The sequence below is a fragment of the Homo sapiens genome, chromosome 2, assembly GCF_000001405.40.
Source record: "Homo sapiens chromosome 2, GRCh38.p14 Primary Assembly".
NCBI lineage: Eukaryota > Metazoa > Chordata > Mammalia > Primates > Hominidae > Homo > Homo sapiens.
In genome coordinates this window covers 62,917,626-62,944,749 of record NC_000002.12, presented here as the reverse complement: position 1 = coordinate 62,944,749, position 27,124 = coordinate 62,917,626, and the positions used below count along the sequence as shown (strand labels likewise).

The 27,124-nt window shown below is 36.9% G+C and overlaps 1 protein-coding gene and 1 pseudogene across 52 annotated transcripts in view; both read right to left on the bottom strand.

Moving 5' to 3' along the window:
* Positions 1-27,124, bottom strand: part of EHBP1 (EH domain binding protein 1) — a 372,610-nt gene that overhangs the window by 101,738 nt on the left and 243,748 nt on the right. For all 52 annotated transcript variants that reach the window (XM_047443744.1, NM_001142615.3, XM_011532718.4 and 49 more), the window contains 2 exons: positions 1,854-2,032; positions 900-948 (listed from right to left, as the gene is read on the bottom strand). In XM_047443744.1, the coding sequence (XP_047299700.1) occupies positions 900-948; positions 1,854-2,032 (228 nt within the window). The remainder of the gene's footprint in view (positions 1-899; positions 949-1,853; positions 2,033-27,124) is intronic.
* RPS20P9 (ribosomal protein S20 pseudogene 9) lies at positions 4,428-4,877 on the bottom strand (annotated as a pseudogene).

Genomic DNA, 27,124 nt, shown 5'->3' with positions numbered 1-27,124 from the left:
TAGCTGGCCCAGGGCTCCAGCAACTCAGCCTTACACAGATGCCCTGAAAGCTGAAAGGATCGATATCCCCTTGCCCCATACCAGTTGGGAAGTTCTGATCTCAATATATTGATTAATTATGTGGGAAAATATAGTCATGTGTTGCTTAACAATGGGGATATATGCTGAGAAATGCATTGTCAGGAGATTTTGTTGTTGTGCAAACATCACAGTGGGTACTTACACAAACCTAGATGGTACAGCCTACTACATACCTAGGCTATACCTAAGCTACAAAGCTGCACAGCATATTCCTATACTGAATAGTGTAGGTAATTGTAACACAATGGTATTTGTGTATCTAAACATAGAAAAGGTACAGTAAAAATGAGGTATTATAATCTTACGGTACATCACCATCTATGTGGTCTGTTTTTGACCAAAATGTTGTTTTGCAGCGCAATAACTGTATACGGTTTACCAGAAAATGAAAAGAACCAAGGTTTATATATTTTTGCCTCTCAGAACCTAAGTATTCTCTCTTGCTTACCATTAGGCTCTCGTTCTCATCCCCAACCAGCATATTTTCTAAACTTACATAACAACTATGGCACAACAGTTTTGGGTGCATTTTTAAAAAGCTAAATCTTAGAAAAAAAGCACTATGCTTTAACAAATATTCAACAGTTAAAAAGATAATATGCATATTATAATATGATGCCAACCTGGCACTTGTGGTCTTTAAAAGTCCATGATAAACCAGAGTAAACCATGTATCCTAATGAACCGCAGTAAGCAGACAACCCTCTGTGAGTTGTAGTTATGACCTCATAAAACTGCCTCACTTTCTCCAAATTAATAAAGACCTGCAGAGAAGCCAAAATTGAAACTACGTATTTTTCTTGCTCATCAATTCTTACCTTTTTGTTGTTCTCTTTAATATCTTGAGGATTCAGAGACTTGTAGTCACTGAGGGAGAAAATAGCACAGTGGGTACATATAGTATTTGATAAAAACAGCTGTTTTTAAAACAAACTGAATCTAAAAATTTGACATTCAATAATACTAAAGAGTAACCAGCAATTTCACAGCAATTCAATCAACAAAACTAATAGTGTGGAAAATTAAAGAAATAAATAAATAAATGAATAAAAACAGTGATTACACGTTTCGCTGCCTGAAGCTTTCCATCTAAAAGAGAGGTTAAGGCAGGGGACCAAAGACTAGCCTTGACAACCAAATTTAGTATGAGGTAATCCCTTGTTGTCAATGTAAAGAATTACAGGCTTATTTGTCTCATCTCATTTTAACACTAACACAATTTTCATAATAATTTGAAGTCAGTTCTTTGAGATTAAGGAGAAAAACCATTTTTTTTTTTTTTTTTTTTTTTTGAGACGGAGTTTCGCTCTTGTTGCCCAGGCTGGAGTGCAATGGCACGATCTTGGCTCATCGCAACCTCTGCCTCCTGGGTTCAAGCGATTCTCCTACCTCAGCCTCCCAAGTAGCTGGGATTTCAGGCATGCGCCACCACACCTGGCTAATTTTGTATTTTTAGTAGAGACGGTGTTTCTCCATGTTGGTCAGGCTGGTCTCAAACTCCTGACCTCAGGTGATCCACCCGCCTTGGCCTCCCAAAGTGCTGAGATTATAGGCGTGAGCCGCCACGCCCAGCCACCACTTTTAAAAAGAGAAAAGATTGTTTTTAGGTATGAAAAAGGAAAAGCTTTCTGACATATATCTCTCAAAAGCAAGAGGTGGGGTAATAAAACAAATATAAATTATTTCAGGATGTGCTAAGAAATTATTTTATGTTCTTTTCAAAAATGTCTATCACTTACAAAATATAGGGAATGGAAAATGTTTCTACTTACATTAAATCTGGTCTAAAGTGGTGTAATATTGCACAAAAAGATAAACCATTTCTCCACGATGTAGTAAAATTGGTGATTTTTACTCCTCGGTAGTTCTTTGTAACTTCTTTACACCATACAAGCAAAGACTGACTAGCATTTGGCTTTCGCCCCAAAACAGGACTTGGTATAGGGCTTGGCTAGAAAAAAATGAAAAGGGGAAAACATTAAAAGAATTTAATGGAAGATGAAAATTAACATTAATTGACCTAATCAGATCATTTGAACCCTTTGATGTCAGTTTAGATCCTTCACAACTGTCAATTCACGACAACTGTAACCTCCAAGAGGGAGACATAAATCTTAAATTATCTTCAGTTTTAGCCCTTGGCATTTGCCTGACAAGGATGCAGATATGCAAGATTTTAAACTTATACATAAGAACAGGCCAAGAGCTTTGCTGATGGAAACATCACGTTAAAGTTTTGAAATACTTAAGGCTAAATACCTATGTAATTCTCACACCCTCAAAATTTCCCCCAAATGCAATCATGTACAAATACGGTTTCTTTTTGACTAGGTTAAAAATAATGTATTTCGAGGTCCAAATGTAACACAAATTTTTAACAGTGGAAAGATTAAAATTATCATTAGTTTTAAAAATACAGTAATCATATATGCATTTTAAGTAAATAGCACAATGATAACCATATTCAAACATGCTTCTTATATAAATTTAATGATGGCAAAACAGTTTTAGAGTTATTAGCAACAGTCAGGTGTTGGTAGCAACAGCACACAACAGTATGTATTTTGGATATGCTCAAAATACTTTCTAATTATCATTGAGAGCTACTTTTGAATACCAGGTGAGTTAGTAGTGTGTGTGTTTTAAATGGTAAGTATATACTTTTACCCTTGTTCATATACTTAAAACATCAATAATAATAACAAACCTAAGATTATATATTAACAATTTTATTCTAAAGTTTTATTATTATTAAAACCATATCATTTTCTTTTACTGAATAACAACTGCAATTTGTGATGGTAACTTTAGAGGCTAGTACAATTGAAAACTACAAAGAAAACTGCTAAATGTTTCCGGACTTTAAATCTTGCTACTAATTAAAAGTGCTAGCTATTATAAGAAACCTTACATATTAAATACAGGCCCTCTAAAGTAAAATGAAAAGAGAACAAGTATTTACTCCTAATACCATTTAAGTTTAAAAAGCAAAGCATTCTTACTACACTGCTTACCTAAGAAAGATCAATGATGCCCCCACTTGACAAAAGCATGTTAGTACCAAACAATTAAAATCATCAACCCCACATAATTATGATTTATGCATTCACTGCTTTTGTGAGAATACTACTAAGAAACACCACTAAAATAACTTCTCATTTTTTATTAACAGTCGGATTAACAAAATATTATGTAAACAACCATAAATCTAGCAAAATACTGTTCTTTAAATGATCATCTCTACAAAGTCAATGCTGAAAAGCTCACAGGTCATAAAAATCAACGGTTTGGATCAATTCGACTTAATATAATGAAGTAGATAAAAAAGGAATCCCAATATACTACATTTACTTTAGAAAAAATAATAGCTAACTAGCAATCTAGTGTAAAAATGAACTATTAAATATCTTTTCATGTAATGATCCACTGTGACCTTCAAATCCCTCTAGGCATTTAACCTGGAAGTAAAGTGAAGAGTGGTTTATGGATGAGTTAGGGGAGCACTGAACTAGGTAGGCATAAACATTTTTTTCTTAGACTTTCTATCATTTAAATAATTGTCTTTATTAAAATGTTTTTCTATATCAAATTATATTATTAAGGTATTGATTCAGTCCAAGCATGGGTAATACATACATGGGCCAGATAATCTGTAACTATCATTACATCGATTCAATTATCAGTAGCATGTCCATAGGTAATGTATAAATGACATTAGCACTATATTATGATCTAGATGGCTTTCTGTATGTAAGAACTAAAGAAAACATATTACATCATTATGATTATGACTGTACCTCTGTTTCTAAGAAGGCTCAATATGAAAAGGCTAGAAGAACTAAACCAAAATTTAAATTGGTTCTAATATAAAAGCCTTGTATTAAGGGATGCTTACTGTACTTCCAACAAAAAGAAGTCACATGCAATTGAAGAAACTTTGATGAAATTACAAGCCCTATAAATGGTCACGGTGGTTTACAAAGAAAGAAAATCATAGAGCCGTTGTTAAATGAAATCATCTACTCCAGAACTGACCTTTTACCTAATATTTTACAGAAAGCCATAAAGGAATTAGCAATTAAATCATTTTGAAACCTTCAGTACATAATTGGATGAAACTGTTTGTTGTTACAGCTGGCTCTTGATTTTACAGATGTGGCAGGTTACTTGACTTGTTTGCATCTCAGTTTCCTCATCTGTAAAGTGCAGATTATAACGGTACATATCTCATAGGGTTGTAGTAACAAGATCTGCCTCACTCTCCCCATGTCCATTTCCTCTCTGATCTTAACCACTGCTCTCTCCCTTAAACACTTTGAACCATACTGACCTCTTAAAAAGAAAAAAACAACTGATAATCAATTTATTAAAATAGCTGACCTAAGCATCTGCAATGGTGACTTCAACCTCAACTCTTGGCTCAATACTGACCGAATAAATCTATTTAACAATCTCAGAAGGACTGTGCAAGTCAATAAACTGCTTGCGGATGCTCTTCTGGGAGTGATTCCATGTCTTAGAACCTTTACCACAGGCGTTTTTCTTGTAGTGATTCTCAAAGTCTTGGTAGGCATCCCAACTGGTCCTTTCACTTTGAGATTCTTTTCCTTTGTGCCTCTGATCAAGTCAGCACACACTTCTTCAGGGATTTTTATACTGCAGCTGGTTAGGGGAATTCTAATTCAGTGAATCACCACCTCTGGTTCCTCCAGTGCTTAAACCCATGGCTGTGATACAGTTTCCTAACCTACATGTTCCTTGGAGAGAGCCAACAGCCATGAGTCAGGAGTAGGAGCCAATGGACTGTGGTTCCATCATGCCTGAAACCATATCTTCCTCAAAATGGCATCATATTAATCTCTTTGTTGTTCCTTGGATATCGCAGACATGTTTCTACCTTGGGGCCTTTGCACATTTCCCTGGTACTCTCTCAGATTGCTCCATTTCCCTGGTACTCTCTCAGATTGCTCCATTTCCCTGGTACTCTCTCAGATTGCTCCATTTCCCTGGTACTCTCTCAGATATCTGCATGGTTAACTCCAATGCAATCTTCTCCATTAGGCCTATTCTCACCATCCTACTTAATAATGCAATTTGGCCGAGCGTGGCGGTTCACACCTGTAATCTCAACACTTTGGGAGGCTGAGGCGGGCAGATCATGAGGTCAGGAGTTCGAGACTGGCCTGGCCAGCATGGTGAAACCCCACCTGTACTAAAAATACAAAAAAATAGCTGGGCATGGTGATGCGTGCCTGTAGTCCCAGCTACTAGGGAGGCTGAGGCAGGAGAATTGCTTGAACCAGCAGGCAGAGGTTGCAGTGAGCTGAGATTGCACCACTGCACTCCAGCCTGGGCGACAGAGCGAGACTCCATCTCAAGAAGAAAAGGAAGAAAAAAAAGCAATCCATTTCCATCATCCAACCCCAATTCAGCACTCCTGAATCCACTTACCCTGCTCTACTTTTTCCACGGACTTATCATCTTCTTAGAGTCCATATACTTTATTTGTTATGCTTACTGGTTATTATCTGTCTGCTCTCACTAAATAAAATGTCCACAAGAGCAAGAATTTTAGTTTGTTTCATTTATTAACCTAAATCAAATGCCCAGAACAGTGCCTGGTACAGCATAGGCACTCAGTAAATACTGTTATATGAAAAAAATGCATGTAAAACACTTAGAACAATGTATGGCAAACAGTACCATTCAGTAAATATTAATTGCAATTATTATTACCACCACCAATGCATTATCAGCAGGAATTCCTATTTTTTGAGGCTCTTCTAGAAATTTCAAAGGCCATGAATTTCTTCAAGATCATAAAAAGTTTTTTCCTTTTCTTCTTCTTCTTCTTTTTTTTTTCCCCCACAAACAAAGCTTTCACTAGAGATAATCTTGACACCTAGATATTCTATGTGGAAAATATGGTACTTGTAATGCTTGGCAATGTATCTATTTCTATAAGGTGGGTGAAAAAAGAAGCTCTAACTGACTTTGTAATTTATTGCTTTCCAAAGGAAGAAAGACACAAAAATCTGTCCATAAAAGGTAAAACTACACTTGCAAATATAATGAATTTTAATGCATTATTTCTGTTTAACATAGCAGATTACATGTGAACGGTAATAAAGCTACCTAGTTATTCTTCCTAACAATGGTAATAGCTTTCTTTCAGAAAACCTAGTCAAATAACTTGCAAATTTTCTTAAATTTTAATAAGAAATGTCAGTTCTATTTTTTCTGCTCTATCCCTCTAACTATAGTTTCCTTCTCTTTTGCTGTCTGCCCTTCTTCCACGGATACAGCCACATATTCCTCTAGGCATTGCTCTAAATAGTTTTCCACCACACTTTGAGCTGATTCATTCCCAGGATTCCAACTATTACTTCCATGCAGATGATTCCCAAATATTTATAGTTCAAACTATCTCAAGTTGACATTTCCAGTTGGCTGTCCTTTCTATCATACAAAATTCAAACTCAATGTGTTCAAAACCATAATGGTGATCTTTCTTTACAACCTGCTCATTTTCATTGTGTTTGCAAATGATACAGCTATTGTCCCAACTGTTTAGATTTTTAATGTCAGAATCACCTTTGAATTCTTCCTTCATGTATCATCTCTTACTAGTTAATTTTGCAGGCAGTTTTGCTCATATTTTGTAAGGTTTTTGTAATCTATCTCCTTTCACCACTGCAAAATCTTCCTAATAGGTCTTTCTTCTTCCAAATCCCCCCTCGGTAACCAACCCATGTCATAGCATCGTTCTCCTTAAAGCACGGCTTAAAGTCTCTAATGGTTCTCAAGAACACACAAAATGATGTCAAAATACTTCGAAGTATTGAATCCCAAATCTTTTTCAATGTATTTACTCTCTAGTATTACTCACCATCCTTTAAAATCCCTATGCTTTCCTGCCTAAACCCCAGGTCTCCCACCTCCACCCAGTCTTGGATCATACACATCATCACCTCTACATGAAATATCTTCCGTCCCAAGCACAACTGCTGCAATTCCACTCTATCTTCAAATCTTCAAGATTTAGTTCAAATGTCATCTCTTACACGAAATCTCCTCGCAATTGCCATTCAGTAGGAAGCCCTTTTCAGTGTTCCTTTGACTCTTTGTGTCCTTCCTATGGCACTTAATAGATTTTCATTTTACTATAATATATTCAGTTCTTCTCTCTACAAAAAGGCTTATTAATTTTTCATTAATTCATAAACTATATACTGAGCACCTATTATGCCCCACAAAGTTAAGACCTTTACACAGATTAGCTAATTTAATCCTCACAACTCGTTTGAGATAGGTACTCTTACTTCCAATTTACAGTTGGAGAAAGTGAGGTTACTCAGGAAGCAGAGGAGTTCCTATACCAAGGAATTCCCACTCCAAAGCCTGTGCTTTTAAACAACATGCATTTCACATTTCAAGAAAATACTGCTGTAGCACTTCAGCAGAAGTTGTAAATTTTTCAATCCTAACAAACATCTCAGTCAACTTCTTATTGTCTTCAGAGGTTAGATCGCTGCCCTCTATATGTTTAATTAGTTGATTCAAAAAAGGCAATTAACCCAAACAATTTCAACTTCAAGAGTCTTTCTGTTAATAAACCTGTCCATTCTGTTGGATTTCAAATTACTGGCTAGAACTAGAACAAGAGCTAATTAAGTCCAGTGTAACGAGACATATACTAACATTGCTAAAGTTGTAGCACATTTTGGTCTCTCAACTACTAATTCTTGGAGACTTTCCCCAGTTATTGCAAATCATGGTTGAGGGAACTTTGAATATATCTAAGCATTTGGTGAACCCAAAAACTATCAACAGTGAGAATGAGAACACTTACATTTATATTGGTCTTATTATTTTTTTTTCAAAGTGTTTTCATTTAAATCACTTCACTTTATTCTCATGGTAAAACTGAAGTTAGGCCTTGTTATTCTACTGCTAGAAAGATTGTGCCATAATTAAATTTTTTTTTTAATCTTCTACAAAACATCAACCAACTTTCTCCAAGCCAAGACATGGAGAGACAGGAAAACTAGAGAGTAAGTGAAACTCTCTGCTGTTTTTATAATGGTAGTCTAGAAGAGTGAGTTGAGAGGTAGAGTTGCACTTTTGGTGGACTCCCAAATAGCAATATGAGCCTCATCCCCTCCCCTCAAAAGTAGAAACAGTAAAATAAAAAGGTAAAAGCAAAAATAATAATATAGTACCTAAGCATATAATAGAGAGGATCAGCAAAGCCAAAATTGCTTCTTTGAAAAGACTAAATTAAACCTGTAGTGTGACTGACCAAGAAAGAGAGAAGCAAATTCCTAGAAAAGTATAGCTTACTGCAACAGACACAAGAAGAAATAGAAAACCCAGAGAGTTCTATAACTGTTAAAGAAACTGACTTTGTAATTAAAAACCTTCTCACAAAGAATATTCCAGTTGGCTTCACTAATAAGTTCCACCAAACATTTATTCAAGGAAAAAAAATCTCCAATATTACACAAATTATAGAAAACTGGAAAAATGAGCTTATTCTCTAACTCATTTCATGGGCCTTTACACCAAAACTCAATAGGCAAAGGCAAAATTAAAGAAAATTCTCATGAATATAGAGGCAAAAGTTTTAATGAAAATATTAATTTATTAAAAAAGGATAACACGTCTTGAACAAATTAGACTTATCCCAAGAACACATATTTGGCTTAATGTTAGCATATCTATTGAGGTAACTTGACCAATTAACAGATTTGGGGGAAAGCTATATAATATAATCATCTAAACAGATGCAGAAGAGCACTTAATAAAATAATGTCCATTTATATTCTAAAAAATAGTCTTAGCAACCTGTAATACAGAATCTTCTTTCACTTGCTAAAAAGGCCCCAGCAAATATTGCAAGGGTGAAATATTTGAGATTGAGCATCTATCATCACTTTTATTCAACAATGTCCCAGCTGGTACATTAAGGTCAGAAAAAGACATCAAAATGTATTAAAAAAGAAACAAAATTGTAAAACGTTATTTACAAATAATATAATTGAGTATGTAGAACATCCACAAGAAGTTACAGTTTATTAGAATTAATAAGAGAATTTAGCAAGGTGTTGGATACAAAATCAATGTACAAAACCAACTGTATTCCTATAAACTAACAAAAACAGAAACTAAAAATTTGAAAACCATTCATAGTGGCATAAAAATGTCAAGTACTTGGCACAAATCCAAAAACAATATGCATGACTGCTATAAAAAACTATCAAGCTTTATTGCGAAAAAGTAAAGAAAATCTAAAGAGATGGATATATATATATATATATATATTTTTTTTTTTTTTTTTGAGATGGAGTCTCGCTCTGTCGCCCAGGCTGGAGTGCACTGGCACGATCTTGGCTAACTACAACCTCTGTCTCCCGGGTTCACCGGATTCTCCTGCCTCAGCCTCCCGAGTAGCTGGGACTATAGGTGCACGCCACCACACGCAGCTAATTTTTTGTATTTTTAGTAGAGACACGGTTTCACCATGTTGGCCAGGATGGTCTCCATCTCTTGACCTCGTGATCCACCCACCTCAGCCTCCCAAAGTGCTGGGATTACAGGCATGAGCCACCGTGCCCGGCCAAGATGGAGATATTTATTCATGGCTTAGAAGACTCAATTTTGTAATGATATCAATTATTTTTCCAGAGAGAAACGGCTAACCAACAGAAAGGGTTAACTAAACTCTTTCTCCATGAAGAAATGCTCTCAAGTTTACCTTCTCCTAACATGAATTCCATGGAAATATATAGGATTATGCTAAAAAGTGAGAAGTCAGCTGTGTTTCCAGGCAACATTATTTACTGTAAAACTGACCCCAGTTTGGTGAACTGTATCTAACTCGAAGGCCTATGAATAAACTACATATCCCTATTGAAAAACAAAGGCAGCAGCTTCCCTATGCTTAGTGTGATTCACGTAACCAAGCATGTCCCTTGGGAATCTGACAGTTGTGTGTATGGGCTGCTACAAGATCCTGTGTTTTGTAAGGCAGAGTGGTCCACACTTACCCACCTGATCTTTCACCTTAGAACTGACATGAGGAACTAAAATATGGCCTAGCATACCTGATGCTGTAATGCTAATATGCTATGTTTCCTGTCCTGAAAGTTAAGTAAACCTGGTGCCAAATTAATTGTATACATTTTCCGTCAAAAAAGGGTTTGTAGCTAGAATTACAAAGAATATCCACAGATCAGTAAGAAAAGGAAAGTTAATCAATAGGAAAAGGGGCAAAAATTGAATGTGCACTTTATAAAAGAAGAAATTCAAATATTCAGTAAATGTGAAAACTTGCTCCGTCACATCAGTATTCAGAGAATTACACAAGGTACTACTGCACACTTCTCCCCAGAAAGGCCGAAATTTTAAGAAGTCTCTTAATTGAGATTAAATTTTAGTGAAATTAAAAATACCAAGTATTGGCAAGGATGTGGAGCAAAGGGAGCTTTCTTACAGGGCTGATGAAAAAAGTTTGGCATCATCTATTATGCTAAAATTGAAAATGTGCATATCCTATGACCCAGCAATTCCTAGGTTTATATCCTATAGAAATGCATGCTTATATAGCACAGAATAGAATACATATGCAAAAATGTTCACAGCAGCACTTTAAAATTTTCCAAATCTGAAAATAATGTAAATGTTCGGCAACAATAAAATGGATTTAAAAATTGTGATCTATTCAGATAGTGAAATACTAGACACACGCACAAAAGAAATACATCCTAAAACATAATATTGAACAAAAGAAAACAGGTACAAACATGCATATATCATATGATTCCATTTATGTAAATTTAAAATCAGTCAAAAGTAAACCATATTGTTTAGGGGGGTCATACTTAAAACAATAAAGCAAAGAACAAACTGATTACTATAAAATCATGATACCACAAGAATTGGAACTTTGCCAACATTTCAGAAACTAGCCCACTTTTATGCTTCTTTCTTATCCCAATCTCTTTCCTCTTCCCTATAATCGGTGGTTATATTAACAAATGTTATTTTTCAATATTGTGTAATCAAATGTGACAACATTTGGAAGATCTACATGAGTACGGGAATCAATGTTTTCCAAAGAAATAATGCATGATGTTACAAAATCACACATCAATAAAAGATGCAGTTGAAAATACCACATAGGCCAATGTATGGTTTGATTCCACACTGAAACTAACTTAAGAAACTATCATTTGTGAGTTTTGGTGTAGTATCAAAAATTATAATCTCTAATCATTTGAGAAGTATTTAAATTCTCTTTAACATTATATATTTGATAAGGTCAAATTTTCTTCATAGAGTACAACCAAAACACATTACAACATATTGAATGCAGAAAGCTGTTTTCAATTAAGCCAGATATTAGACCCTGGAAAAAATGAAAAACAATGTCAGTCTTCTCAATAAACTGTTTTTGTTTTGAAAAATATAGTCATTTTTCATGAAAATACTATATTATTTATGTTAATATGTGATATAGTTTAATATAATTTTAAATAAATTAATAAAATTTAAAAACTTCTCAGTGTTAATTTCTAATATTGTAAATAGCAATAGGTATAACTCACATAAACAGAAGTTATTTGGGCTCCTCAATAACTTTTTAATAATTTCTTTTTATTGTAGTAAAATACACATAATATTTACCATCTTAACCTTTTTTTTTTTTTTTTTTTGAGATGGAGTCTCACTCTGTCACCCAGGTTGGAGTGCAGTGGCATGACTGGCTCACTGCAACCTCCCTTTCCTGGGTTCAAGCAATTTTCCTTCCTCAGCCTCCGAAGTAGCTGGGATTACAGGCTCATGCCATCATGCCCAGCTAATTTTTGTATTTTTAGTAGAGACGGGATTCCGCCACGTTGCCCAGGCTGGTCTCAAACTCCTGATCTCAAGTGATCCGCCCTCCTCGGCCTCCCAAAGTGCTGAGATTACAGGTGTGAGCCACCATGCCCAGCCCTTAACCATTTTTAAGTATGCAGTTAATAGTATTAGTATATTCACATTGTTTTGAAACAGATCTCCAGAACTTTCTGATTTTGTAAAACTGAAACTCTATATCCATTAAACAAGTCTCTGCCCCTAGTAACTGCCATCCTATTTTCTGTTTCTGTGATCTTGATTTCATATAAGTGAAATCATACAGTATTTGTCTTTTTGTGATAAATTCATTTCATTTAGCATTATGTCCTCAAGATTAATCCATGTCATAGCATGTGACAAGATTTCCTTCCTTTTCAGGCTGAATAATATTCCACTGCAGATATATACCACATTTTGTTTCTCCATTCATTCATCAATGGACATTTGGAATGCTTCCACCTCTTGGATTTTGTGTATACTGCTGCTATGAACATGGGTGTGCAAATATCCCTTCTAGACTCTGTTTTCAATTATTTTGGGTACAGAGTAGTCTTCTCTTCTCTGTGGGAATATGTTCTTTTTTTTTTTTTTTAGATGCCGTCTCGCTCTGCCACCCAGGCTAGAGTACAGTGGCACAATCTTGGCCCACTGCAACCTCCACCTCCCGGGCTCAAGTGACTCTCCTTCCTTACCCTCCCAAGTAGCTGGGACCACAGGTGCATATCACCATCCCTGGGTAATTTTTATATTTTTAGTAGAGATGGGATTCCACCATGTTGGCCAGGCTGGTCTTGAACTCCTGACTGACTGATGCTCCCACCTTGGCCTCCCAAAGTGCTAGGATTACAGGTGTGAACCACTGCACCTGATGGGAATATGTTCTAAGACCCCCAGGGGACACTTGAAACTGTGGATAGTATTGAGCTGTCTATATATCATACTTCGCTTTTTCAACTGGATAACTGAGATGTTATCCCAACAGCCACTACTAAGTGACTAACAGGTGGCATATACAGCATGGATACATTGGACAAGGGGATGATTCACATCCTGCACGGAAGAAGAGGGATGCTGTGAGATTTCATCACATTACTTAGAATGAGGCACAATTTAAAACTTATGAATTATTTCTGGAACTTTCCATTTAATATTTTTGGATGACGGTTGACTATGGGCAACTGAAACTTCAGAAACTGAAGCCACAAATAATGGGGTGGAGGTGCTACTGTATACTCAGAAGTGAAATCGCTGAATCATATGGTAACTCTATTTTTAATTTTTTTGAGGAATCATGATACTGTTTTCCACAGCACTGTATCATTTTAAATTCACACCATCAGTGCACAAGGGTACTAATTCTTCTACATCCTCACCAATACTTGTTATTTTCTGATTTTTCTTTGGGGATTGAAGATAGTAGCCATCCTAATGGGTGTGAGATGGTATCTCATTATGGTTTTGATTTGTATTTCCCAATAATTAGTGATGTCGAGCATCTTTTCATATACTAGTTGGCTATCTGTATGTGTTCTTTGGATAAATATCTATTCAAGGCCTTTGCCTATTTTTGAACTGGGTTGTTTGGTTTTTGGTTAAGTTTTAAGAGTTTCCTATATATGCTGGATATAAATCCCTTCTTAACAGATATGTTATTTTAAAATATCCTCCCATTTTGTAGGCAAGAAATATTTTCCCTCTGTTGATTGTGTTCTTTGAGGCACAAAAGTTTTAAATTTTCATGAAGTCTAATTTGTCTTCTTTCTTTTGCTGTCTGTGCCTTTGGTGTCTACCCAAGAAATCACTCCCAAATCCAATGTTTTGTTTTTGCCCTATGTTTTATTCTAAGAGATTTATGGTCTTAGCCCTTACATTGAAGTCTTCAATCCATTTTGGGTTGCTTTTTGTATATGGTGTTAGGTAAGGGTCCAACTTCATTCTTTTGCATGTGACATCTAATTTTCCAATATTATTTGTTGAAAAAATGGTCTTTTCTCCATTTTTCTCCATAGTCCTGACTCTCTTGTTGAAAATCACTGACCTTATTATATGCAGAGGTTTGTTTCTGGACTCTCTATTCCATTGTTGGTCTATATGTCTTCATGCCAGTACCATACTGTCTTGATTACTGTAGCTGTGCAGTAAGTTTTAAAATCAGAAAGTGTGAGTCTTCCACTCTTGTTCTTTTCGAGGCTTGTTTTTGGTTATTCTGGGTTCTTTAAAATTCCAAATGAATATTAACATGGATTTTTGTATTTTTACAAAAAACATTATTGGGATCTTTATAAGAATTGCATTAAATCTTTAGATATCTTTGGGTGGTATTGATATGTTAACAATATTAAGTTTTCTAAGCCAAGAACACGGGATATCTTTCCATTTATTTCTGCCTTTTTCAGTTTCTTTCAGAAATGTTTTATAGTTTTCAGTGTGCAAGTCTTTTACCTTCCTGATCAAGTTAATTCCTAAATATTTAATTCTTTTTGATGCTACTGTTTTTGTTTTTTTGTTTTGTTTTGTCTTGAGACAGGGTCTTGCTCTGCTGCCCAGGCTGAAGTGCAGCAGCATGGTCACAACTCACTGCAGCCTTGACATTCTGGGCGCAAGCAATCCTCCCACCTCAGCCTCTCAAGTAGTGGGACTATGAGTGCATGCCACCATGCTTGGCTAATTGTTAAAATGTTTTGTAGAGATGGGGGTTTCGCCATGTTTTCCAGGCTGGTCTTGAACTCCTGAGCTCAAGCAATCCTCCTGCCTTGGCCTCCCAAAGTGCTAGGATTACAGGTGTTAGCTTCTGTGTCTGGCTGATGCTATTGTTAATGAAAGTACTTTCTTAATTTCCTTCGTGGATTGCTCATTGTTGGTATATAGAAATACAACGGATTGGTTTTTGTATCATGCTACGTTGCTGAATTTATTAGTTACAACAGTTTTTTTTTTTGTAGAATCTTTATAGTGTTTTTTATATACAGGATCTTCTCATCAGCAAACAGAGATAATCTTATGCCTTCCTTTCTGATTTGAATACCTTTTACATCTTTTACTTGCCTAAGTGTGATGGCTAGGACTTTCAATACTATGTTGAAGACAACTGGCAAGAGAGGGCATCCTTGCCTTGTTCTTGATCATAGAAGTCTTTCACTATTGAATATGATATTTTCTGTGGGTTTTTCATATATGACTTTTATCATGTTTAGGTAATTTCTTTTAATTCCTAGTATGTTTAATTTTTTTTTAATCATGAAAGGGTATAGAATTCTATCAAATGCTTTTTCTGGATTGACTGAGATGATTACATGTACTATCTCCTTCATTCTGCTAATGTAGTGTATTACACTGATTACATATGTCTAATCATCCTTGCACTCCAGGCATAAATCCCACTTGGTTGTGGTATGTAATTCTTTTAATATGTTGCTGAATTTAGTTTGCTAGTATGACATTGAGGATTTTTTGCAAAGTTCATAGGGATATTAGTCTGCAGTTTTGTTTTCTTGTAGTGTTTGTCTGGCTTTGGTATCAGGATAATGCTGGCCTCAAATAATGAGGTAAGGAGTATTCCCTCTCCAATGTTTTGGAAACGTTTGAGAAGAATTAGTGTTGGTTCTTCTTTAAGTGTTTGATAGAGTTCACTGGTGAAGCCATTAGGTTCAGAGCTTTTCTTTTTTGGGAGATTTTTGATTACTGATTCATTCTTCTTACGAATTAGAGCTCTATGCATATTTTCTATTTCCACATGGTTTCATTTTGGTAGGTCTTCTGTTTCTAGGAATTTGTCTATTTCACCTAGGTTACCCAATTTGTTGGTGTAGAATTACTTAGTACTTTCTTATAATCCTTTTTGTTTCTGTGGAATAGGTAGTAATGTCCCCACTTTATTTAATTTCTAATTTTACTAAAGTGAGCCTTTTCTCTTTTTTTTTTTTTTTTGTTCTTAGTCTATCTAGCTGAAGTTTGTCAATTTTGTTGATCTCTTCAAAGAATCAACATCTGGGTTCATTAATTTTCTCAATTGTTTTTCTAGTCTCCATTTTGTTTATCTCTGCTCTAATCTTTATTATTTCCTTCCTTTTTCTAGCTTTGGGTTTAGTTTGTTCTTCCAGTTCCTTAAGTTGTAACATTAGGTAGCTGAATTTGGGATCTTTCTTGTTTATTTTTATTTTTTTCCCACTGGAAAATAATATTAATAAGATCCCATCAGCTATACAACATGTTCTTGACATTAAGCTGCATCTTCCATTACAATTTGCTCTTTCCTAAGTGGTTCCATGAATGCTGTCCTCTTTGTTATAGTCTACAAGCAGCCATTGTCAAACTTGGAGGTAGTGTTGATAAAATTAAGGCCAGTCTTTTCTAGAGGCCACCAGAAAGGACTTGGAGGGTGAGTACTTACTTTTTGATTCCCACCACACAGCCTTACAAGCAGAATAAAGTTTTTGGTCACCTTAGGGCAGAGGACAACGCCTCCCTAGGAAAAGCTAGGCCATCGGGTTAGCACAGATAAAGCATGAGGGCTGGAGACAGGTAAGAAAACAGAGTACTATCTAACAGGCATGACACTTTCAGGTTCAGAGGTTGTTCTCAGCCCTCTACACTACCCCAGCAACCTCTAACCACAGGGGTGTTCCCTTTCTTGTATTTGAATGTGAGTGTTAATTGCTAAAAATTTCCCCCTAAACACTGCTTTCATTGTGTCCCAGAAGTTTTGGTATGCTGTGTTTTTATTTTCATTTTTCTCTAAGTCTTTTGTGATTTCTTCTTTGATCCATTGTTTATTTACAAGTGTGTAGTTTAAAATCCACATATTTGTGATTTTTTTTCAGTTTTCCATCTGTTATTGATTTCTAACTTCATATGTTGTTATCAGAAAAGATACTTTGCATGGTTTCTTCTTTTAAATTTTATTGTAACTTAATTTGTGGCTTAACATATATCCAGGAAATGTCCCATGTGCATTTGGGAAAATGTGCATTCTGTTGTTGCGCAGTTTTTTGTATGTTTGTTAGATCTAGTTCACATACTGTGTTGTCCAAGTCCTCTACTTTCCTAATTTTACCTGATTCTTCTATCCATTATTGTGAGTGGGGTATAGAAGTTTCCAACTATTATTGTACAAGTATGTGTATGTCTACTTCCGATTCTGGCCATTTTTGCTTCAGATATTTTGATGGTCAGTTATTAGGTGTGCAAATACTTTTAACTGTTATATCTTCTTGATGTATTGAAAATTTTCTTAATATATAATGTCCTTTGTCTCTTGTAACTTTATTTTTTAATTGACAAATAATAATTGTTTATTTTCAAGGGGAACATGGTGATGTTTTGATACATATAATGTATACTAATCAGATCAGGGTATTTCACATATCCATCATCTCAAACATTTATTATTTCTTTGTGCTGGGAACATTCAATATCCTCCTAATAATATATAGCTTTAAGTAGCTATATTATTGTTACTTATAGCCATTCTACAGTGGTATATAACACAAGAATTGAGTAATCCTATCTAGCTGTAATTTTGTATCCTTTAACAAATCTCTCCATATGCTCCTCTCCCCACCACCTCCCCTGCCTTCCCAGCCTCTAGTATCCTCTGTTCTACATTTTACTTCTATGAGATCAACTTTTACTTTTAGCTTCCACATTTGAGTGAGAACATGCAGTGTTTAACTTTCTTTTCCTGGCTTATTACAGATAACATAATATCATCCAATTCCATCTGTATTGCCATGAATGGCAGGATTTCATTCTTTTTTTTCTAGCTAAATAGTATTCCATGACGTATATACACCACATTTTCTTTAACCATTCATCTGTTTTTGGACAAATAGGTTGAGTCTATATCTTGGCTAACATGACCAGTGCTGCAATAAACACGGGGGTGTAGATATCTCCAATATAATAATTTATTTCTCTGTGGATAAATACTCAGTAGTAGGAGGACTGCTGGATCATATGGTAGTTCTATTTATTTTTTGTGAGACCTCCATAGTGTTCTCCATAGCGGCTATAGTGGCTTGCATTCCCACCAACAGTATCTAAGAGTTTCCTTTTCTCTGCATCCTCTCCAGCATTTGTTTTTTTGTTGTTGTTGTTTTTGTCTTTTTGATAATAGCCATCTTAACTGGAAAGAGATATCTCTTTGTGATTTTGATTTGCATTTCCCTCATGATTAGTAATGTTGGACATGTAAAAAATATATTTTTTGGTCATTTGTATGTCTTCTATTGAGAAATATCTGTTCAGGTCATTTGCCCATATTTGAGTTCAATTGTTTTTTGGCTATTGGGATGTTTCAGTTTCTTTTATATTCTGGGTATTAATCCTCCATCGAATGAGTAGTTTGCAAATATTTTCTTCCATTCTGTAGGTTGTCTTTTCACTCTGCTGTTTTCTTTGCTGTGCAGAAGCTTTTTGGTTTGATGTAATCCCATTTGTTTATTTATGCTTTTGCTGCCTATGCGTTTGAGGTCTTGAAGTGTTTCCACTATGTCTTCTACTAGTAGTTTCAATGCTTCAGGTCTTACATTTAAGTCTTTGATCCATTTTGAGAGGTGGCAGTCTAGTTCCAGAATATCCAGTTTTCCCAGCACAATTAATTGAAGAGACTATCTTTCCCCAATGAGTGTCCTTGGTGTCTTTGTCACAAATCAGTTCACTGTGGATATGTGAATTAATTTCTGGGTTCTCTATTCTATTTCATTGGTCTATGTGTCTGCTTTTATGCTAGTACCATGCTGTTTTGGTAAGAATAGTTTTGTCATACACTTTGAGGTCTGGTAGTGTTATACGTCCAGCTTGGTTATTTTTGCTCATGATTGCTTTAGCTATTTGAGGTCTTTTGTGGGTTCATATAAATTCTGTTTTTTATTTTCTATTTCTGTGAAGAATGTAATTGGTATTTTGATAGATATTGCATTTAATCTGTAGATCGCTTTGGGCTACATGGTCATTTTAATGATATTCATCTGATCCATGAGGTTGGGATGACTTTCCATTTTTGTGTATCCTCTTCAATTTCTTTCATCAGTGTTTTGCAGTTTTCCATGTAGAGTCTTTCACCTCCTTGGTTAAATTAATTCTGGGGAGCTATTGTAAATGGGATTGCTGTCTTGATTTCTTTTTCAGCTAGTTTTATTGTTCATGTATAAACTACTACTGATTTTAATATACAAATTTTGTATCCTGCAACTTTACTGAACTCGTTTATCAGTTATAAGAGTAATTTGGTACAGTCTTTAGATTTTTCTTATGTCTTTTTTTAATAATAACATTTTATTTCCTGAGAGCACAGATTCAACTTCCCCTGAATATATGCTTCTGGTTTTTCTACATATAAGATTATGTCATCTGCAAACAGGGACAATTTGACTTGTTTCCAATTTGGATGCCTTTTTTTTTTTCTTGCCTAATTGCTCTCCTTAGAACTTCTAGTAGTATGCTGAATAGAAGTGGTAAGAGTAGACACTCTTGTCTTGTTCCACTTCTGACAGAAAAAGCTTTCACCCTCATTCAGTAAGATGTTAGCTGTGGGTTTGTCATATGTGGCCTTTATATATTTAGGTATTAACCTTCTATACCTAATTATTAAGAGTTTTATCATGAACAATGTCAAATTTTATCAAAAGCTTTTTCTATACCTATTGAGATGATCATATGGTTTTCATCCTTTATTCTATGGATGTGATGTATGACATTTATTGACTTGTGTATACTGAACCATTCTTGCATTTTTGGGCTAAATTCCACTTGGTCATGGTGGAGTTTCTATTGCCATCGTTGATGCACTGTTGCGCTCAATTTGTTAGTATTTTGTTGAAGATTTTTGTGTCCACGTTCATCAGGGATACTGGTCTGTAGTGGGTTTTTATTGTTGTATCCTTGGCTGGTTTTGATGTCAATGTTATGCTGGCCTCATAGAAAGAATTGGAAAGGATTCCCTTTGCTTCCATTCTTTGGAGTAGTTTGAGAGGAATTGGTATTAATTCTTCTTTAAGGGTTGGGTAGAATTCAGCAACGAAGCCATCTGGTCCTGAACTTTACATTGTTGGAATACTTTATATTACTGATTCAATCTTTTTACTTATTGGTCTATTCAAGGTTTTCTATTTCTTCTTGGTTTGATCTTGGTAGATATGTGTCCAGGAATTTATCCATTTCCTCTAGGTTTTCAAATTTATTGTCATAAAGTCATTCATAGTTGTCTCTAATAATCTTCTGTATTTCTGTGGTATCTGTTGTGATGTCTCCTTTTTCATTTCTGATTTATTTGGGTCTTCTCTCTTTTTTCCCAGTCTAGCTAATGGTGTGTTGATTTCGTTTATCTTTTCAAAAAATCAACTTTTTGTTTCATTGAACTTCTGTATTTTTTCAGTCTCAATTTCATTTATCTCTGCTCTGATCTTTATTATTTCTTTTACAATGTTTTGGTTTGCTCTTGCTTTTCTAGTGCATTGTTAGGTTGTTTATTAGAACTCTTCCTCATTTTTTGATGTAGGCATTTATTGCTATAAACTTGCCATTTACTACTGCTTCTCCTGTGGCCATAGGTTACTTTGGCTGGGAGAACAAGCATAGGGCTGTTCATTGAACCTGGGGGTATGCCCACCAGGGGTTGCCTGTGGGGCTGTTTCTCAGGCATGATATGCTGGTACATGGCTCCTCAGCTGGCCTAAAGGCATGTTTGCTGGGGGCGATCCACAGGATGGCTGTTTCTCAGGCTTGGGATATGGGTACAAGCTGTTCAGCTGGCCTTAGGTTGTGTCTACTGGGTAGGGACCCATGAGGCTGTTTCTCAGACTTGAGACACAGACACATAGCTGCTCAGTTGGCCTGTTGATGTGTCCACTGGAGGTGGATCGCAGAGTTGCTTCTCAGGGCCATGATGCAGTCAGCTGGTTTGGGGGTGTGTTTGCCAGGTGTGGCCCACAGGACTGTTTTGCAGTCCTAGTACACAGGTGCAAGGCTATTTGGTTGGTCTGGGGCATGCCTGCCAGGGGTGAACTGCAAAGTTGCTTCTTAGGCCTCGGAGTGTTTCTTGGGTCATAGAGGGTTGGTGGGTTATGGGGACTGCACACCTTATGCTCCTAAGATTGCCTCTCAGGCCTGGGATGCTGGCACATAGCTGTGTAGGCAGCCTGGGAGCTCCTTGCCAGAGGCAGCATGTAGAGCTACTTCTCACTCCTGGGGCATGGGTGCAAAGCTGCTTGGATGACCTGGGAGTGTTTCTGCCAGGGCCAGCCTGCAGAGATGTTTCTCAGGCTCTTGCTGTGGGCATGGGGCCAATTGGCAGGTCAGGGACTTTTCTGTAGAGGGTGGGGCACCTCAGTGTTATTTCTCAGGGTGCAATCACATAGCTGCTCTGCCAGCCTGAGAATGTCAGCTGTTCAGAGGCTTGAGGGCCTCTCCCCTATGAAGATGGGCATGTGGCTATTTGGCCAGCTCATGGGTAGGTTCACCCTGGGCAAGACTGCCAGGCTGTTCCTCTGGCTGGAAGTGAGGGTAGTGAGAGTTGGTTTTCATGCTTTGCAGGACCAATGTCATAGCCAATCTTGGGTCCAGATTTTGTATTGCTGAGGTTGTGGTGTTCAGCCACTGGTGTAGGTTTGGAGGAATGAAGATGGAGCCCCAGTGTTAGACAGGTGCAGTGACTATGTGCCCCCAGAGAAGGGCACACTTCAGAGGTGTCCCTGGTCTCAAGATGTCACCATGCTTCAGGAGCTTGGCTCATAGGAGGTGGGTGAAGTATGGGGAGTGCACACCTTATGCTCTTAACTGGGGCAATGCAGCTGCATGATTTCCTGGTAGCTATCCAAATGGAGACTGTGGGATTCTCCTGTTGTAACAACTATACTGTTGTAAGGTGTTTGCAGTGGCAATGGGGGTTAATGGAGATCTTCTGCTTACCTGTTACCCACAACAAGAAGTTCTCTCCTGACTCCAGGTTGATTAAATCCTAAGGAATGGAAGGGAGACAGGACTGCAGAGACTGGCTGCCTTCATGCTGCCCTCCTGGACTTCCTATCACCATAGGTGTTTCTCCACTCCACTGCTGTACTCCACTGCTCTTTCTTTGACACTCCTGTCAAATCTTGGCTATTTATTCCTTGTATTTATTCTTTCTTGTAGGGAAGATGAATGCCAGGTGTCTCTAGTCTGCCATCTTGCTGATGTCATTCCTGCATCTTCCCTATAACCTTTTTAAATTTAGTCCATTTTGTCTGATATTAGTATAAGCATCCTGGTTACTATTTACGTGGATTATTCTTTTCTGTCTTTTCACTTTCAACGTATTTGTGTCTTTGGATACAAAGTGAGTCTCCTGTAGACAGCAATTATTAGATCACGTGTTTTCACCCATTCCACCAAAGTCTACCTTTGGAGGGTTTAATCCATTTGAAGTACAGATGACTCTTGAACAACATGGGTTTGAGCTGTGTGGGTCCACTAATACTTGAACTTTCTTTTGCCTCTGCCACCCCAAGACAGCAAGACCAACCCTTCTTTGTCCTCAGCTTACTCAACATAAAGATGAAAAGGACAAAGACCTTTAATACTGAATATATTTTCTCTTCATTATGATTTTTTTTCTTTGAGACGGAGTCTTGCTCTGTCGCTCAGGCTGGAGTGCAGTGGTGCGATCTCCGCTCACTGCAACCTCCACCTCCCAGGTGCAAGCGATTCTCCTGCCTCAGCCTCCTGAGTAGCTGGGATTACAGGTGCCTGCCACCATGCCTGGCTAATTTTTGCAGTTTTAGTAAACACGGGTTTTCACCATCTTGGCCAGGCTGGTCTTGAACTCCTGACCTCATGATACACCTGTCTCAGCCTCCCGAAGTGCTGGCATTACAGGCGTGAGCCACCACGCCTGGCAGATTTTCTTACCATCTTCTTTTCTCTAGCTCATTTAACTGTAAGAATAAAGTATACATACATAAAACATACAAAATGTATTCCTTGACTATTTATGTTATGGGTCTGTTCTGGTCAAGAGTAGATAATTAGTAATTAAGTTTACATGGGGACAAAAGCTACACACAAATTTTCAACTGCATGGGGGTTGGTATCCCTAATCCCTACATTGTCGAGTGGTCTACTGTAATTTGTGATAAGAAGGGACTTACTTCCATCATTTTGCTAGTTGTTTTCTGTATGCCTCATAGTCTTTTTTGTCCTTCATTTCCTACATTATTGCCTTCTTTTGTGTGTATTTTTTTTTTCCAGAGTGAAATTTTAAAATTTCTTTCTCATTTCCTTTAGCGTATGTTCTTTTGTTATTTTCTTTGTGGTTATCATGGGGATTACTTTTTTTTTTTTCTTTTTTGAGACAAGGTCTGGCTCTGTCTCCTAGGCTGGAGTGCAGTGGTGCAATCTTGGCTCACTGCAACCTCTGCCTCCCAGGCTAAAGCCATCCTCCTACCTCAGCCTCCTGAGCAGCTGGGGCTACAGGCACATGCACCATGCCTGACAAATTTTTGTATTTTTTGTAAAGATGGGGTTTCGCTATGTTGCCCAGGCTGGTCTCAAACTTGTGAGCTCAAGTGATCCGCCCGCCTCAGCCTCCCAAAGTGCTGGGATTACAGGCATGAGCCACCATGCCCAGCTTTGGATTACATTTAACATCCTAAAATTATAACACTGTAATTTGAATTCATACCAGTTTAACTTCAGTAACTTCTAACAGCTTCTCTTCTAATAGCTCCATCAATAACCTTTTAGCTGTTGATATCAAAATTACATCTTTACACACTGTTTATCCAAACAGAATTTTGCATTAATTAATCTAATTATGATTAATCAGGCCAGGCGCAGTGGCTCATGCCTGTAATCTAAGAACTGTGGGAGGCCAAGGCAGGCAGATCATTTGAGGTCAGGAATTCGAGACCAGCCTGGCCAACATGGTGAAAACCCAACTCTACTTAAAAAAACCCCACAAAAATTAGCCAGGCATGGTGGTATATGCCTGTAATCGCAGCTACTCGGAAGGCTGAGGCAGGAGAATTGCCTGAACCCAGAAGGCAGAGGTTGCAGTGAGCAGAAATCACGTCATTGCACTCTACCCCAGGTGACACAGAGAGACTCTGTCTCAAAAAAAGAAAAAAAAAATATGATTAATCAGAATATGCCTGAATCTCTTAAATTAATGCATTCATCTCTTAAATTATGTTTACACCATTGTTACAATAACACCAGCTTTTATAATTGCCCACCTATCTACCTTTTCTGGGATCTTTATTATTTTACATGTCTTTGGGTTACTAATACCCTTTCATTTCAACATTTAGGATTCCATTTAGCACTTCTTGCAGGGCAAACCTAGTTGTAATACATTCCCTTAGCTTTGGTTAATCTGAGAATGTCTTAATTTCTCCCTCATTTTTGAAGGGCAGTTTTTTTCAGATATAGGATTCTTGGTTGGCAGTTTTTTTGTCTTTTAGCAGTTTGAATATATCATATCAGTCTACTGCCTTCTGGTCTCAAAAGTTACTGATGAGAAATCTGCTGATATGAGGATCCTTTCTGATGAGTCACTTCTCTCTTGCTGCTTTCAAAATTCTCTTTGTCATTCAACAGTGTTGAATGATTATAATGAGTTTTAGTGTAGGACTTTTTGAGTTCATCCTACTTGGAACTTGTTAATCTTAGATGTTTACATTCATGTCTTTCATGAAATTTGGGAAGTTTTAGCCATTATCTCTTCAAATATTATCTCTCCCTTTCTCTGTCTTTTCCACTCCCGGGAATCCCAAAATGTGTATGTTGGTTTAGTTGATGGTGTCTCACAGGTACTTTAGGCTGTGTTCCCTTTTCTTCAACCTTAACTTTTATTGTCCTATGATTCTCTCTTCTGCCTGCTCAAATATGCCTTTGAATCCCTCTAGTGAATATTTTTTTGTTTCAGTTATTGTACTTTTCAGTTCCAGAATTTTTTTCATTTCTTTTAAAGTTTTTTCTTTATTAATATTTCCATTTGGTTCAGGTATCTCTTTTTATAAAATTCTCTCCATATGTTCAGTACTTTGAGTGTCTTTTAGAACACTACTTTAGAGTCTTTGTGTAGTAGATCTGACATTAGATCTTTCTCAGGTACAGTTCCTCTTGGTTTCTTTCCTTTGAATGGGCCACAATTTTCTGTTTGTTTGTATGCTTTATGACTTTTCATTAAAAAACAGACATTGGAATCTAATAATGTGATAACTCTAAAAGTCATTATTCCCTTCTAGAAATCAGATTCTTCCCTTTCCCCACCTGTTATTTGTTTGTGCTTAAAAAAAATTGTAGGTGGTTCCTGTACTGAGGATTAGTCTGAGGTACAAACTAAAATCATCTCAGGTCTTTTCTGTACCTGTGCCTTTCCCTGGACAAACACAGTGACTTCATAATTTCCCCTATATATATGGTTGCTTTTGAATAGTCTAGTCTTCAATGCCTGTCTCCCAAAAGGGGAAAAAGAGATAAATGAAGAGAAAAACAAAAGGTGCTTGCCCTTTAAGTCCCCCGGAAGTCACTTCAATCAGCAAGAGCAGACAGGGGCTTACACCAAAAAGAGGGAAGTACAGCAACAATGGCCACCACCTCTTTGCCTGCACTTCTGTATCAGAGGCAGCAATCAGCAATAAGAGAACAAATTTCGGATATTTGAAAGATAAGGTCCTTATTTCCCACCTTGGCTTCTACAAGCTCTGTGCAAGCTATTCCAGGAACACCTACATGACTGCCTGCCATGAAGCTGGAGAATCAGGGATGGATAGCCACTGCTGAGCTAAGAGCTGAAACCGACCAAAATTGACTACAATTACTATCTAAGGGCTCTCCTGGAAGGCTTCAATAGACCCCAGGTTTCCAAAATAGTTACATCTGGCAGATTCTGCCAGTGCAAATGTTGTCTCGGTTGGGAGAGAGATTCCTGGTGCTTGCTACCCCGTTATTTTCTCAGAATCCTCTACCTCCTTAAAAACTTTTAAGAGCATAAAGAGGTCTTGAGACCAATAAGTTTGAGAACCACTATCGTAGACAATGCAGATATGCATGTCCAGGAATTGTCATATTTTTAAATGACCAAATCAACCAACTTTAGCTTTCAGTGAATCAATGTAAAATGAGGATCATAAGACTAACTAGGGGCATAAGTTTAAATTCAAGACCCTAAACTAAAGCACCATTTTCAGAAAAATTTCCTTGTTATGTCATTAGAGAAGAGTAAAGAGGATGAAAAGATGTAGGGCACAGCAAACTAGAGATGCTTGCAGGTTATATTTATATCCCTGATGTTTCCTTTTGGGGCCTTGAGTAGTCTGTAGCCATTAATTTAATATATTGTGATGCCGAGTTTGCTAGAATCACAAAGGGATACTGTATGATTATCTGCCTATAAAAACAGCAAATAAAATATGCAAAATTCTATTCCATAACAGAGCATTTGGGCTCTATAAGTGCCTCATTTGGACCAGCAGCCCGTACTACAATTATTTATTTTAAATTTACTACGGTAGTTGTAAATCAAAGAGTAGTAGAGAGAAAGAAATTCCAGGTTTAATGATTATGATATAGGCAGTGAAAAAAAACACAATAGGCCGGGAGTGGTGGCTCACGCCTGCAAACCCAGCAGTTTGGGAGGCTGAGGCGGGTGGATCACTTGAGGTCAGGAGCTTGAGACCAGTCTGGCCAACATGGCAAAACTCCATCTCTACTAAAAATAGAAAAATTAGCCGGGTGTGGTGGCAAATGCCTGTAATTCCAGCTACTCAGGAAGCTGAGGCAAGAGAATTGCTTGAACCTTGGAGGCGGAGGTTGCAGTGAGCTGAGATCATGCCACTGCACTCCAGCCTGGGCGACAAAGTGAGATAACATCTAAAAAAAAAAAAAAGAAGGAACACAATAGTTCCTAAAAACTAAACAAACGAAACCAGAATAAATCAGAAATCAAAGTGCTGGGAGACATTCCTCTGTAGGTCTGTTATGCTCCTATACATTTTGCTGGTCCAAGAATGAAAAAGTCTGGCTGCTTTTATTCAGGCAATTTCTCACAGATAGGAAAGCATGATTTAGCCATGCAATTTCTTCCTATGGCTGATTTTGTTATAAACAAGTGAAAATCAATTCAGTTCTGTAAATTTAATATAACTAAATCATATATAAACTG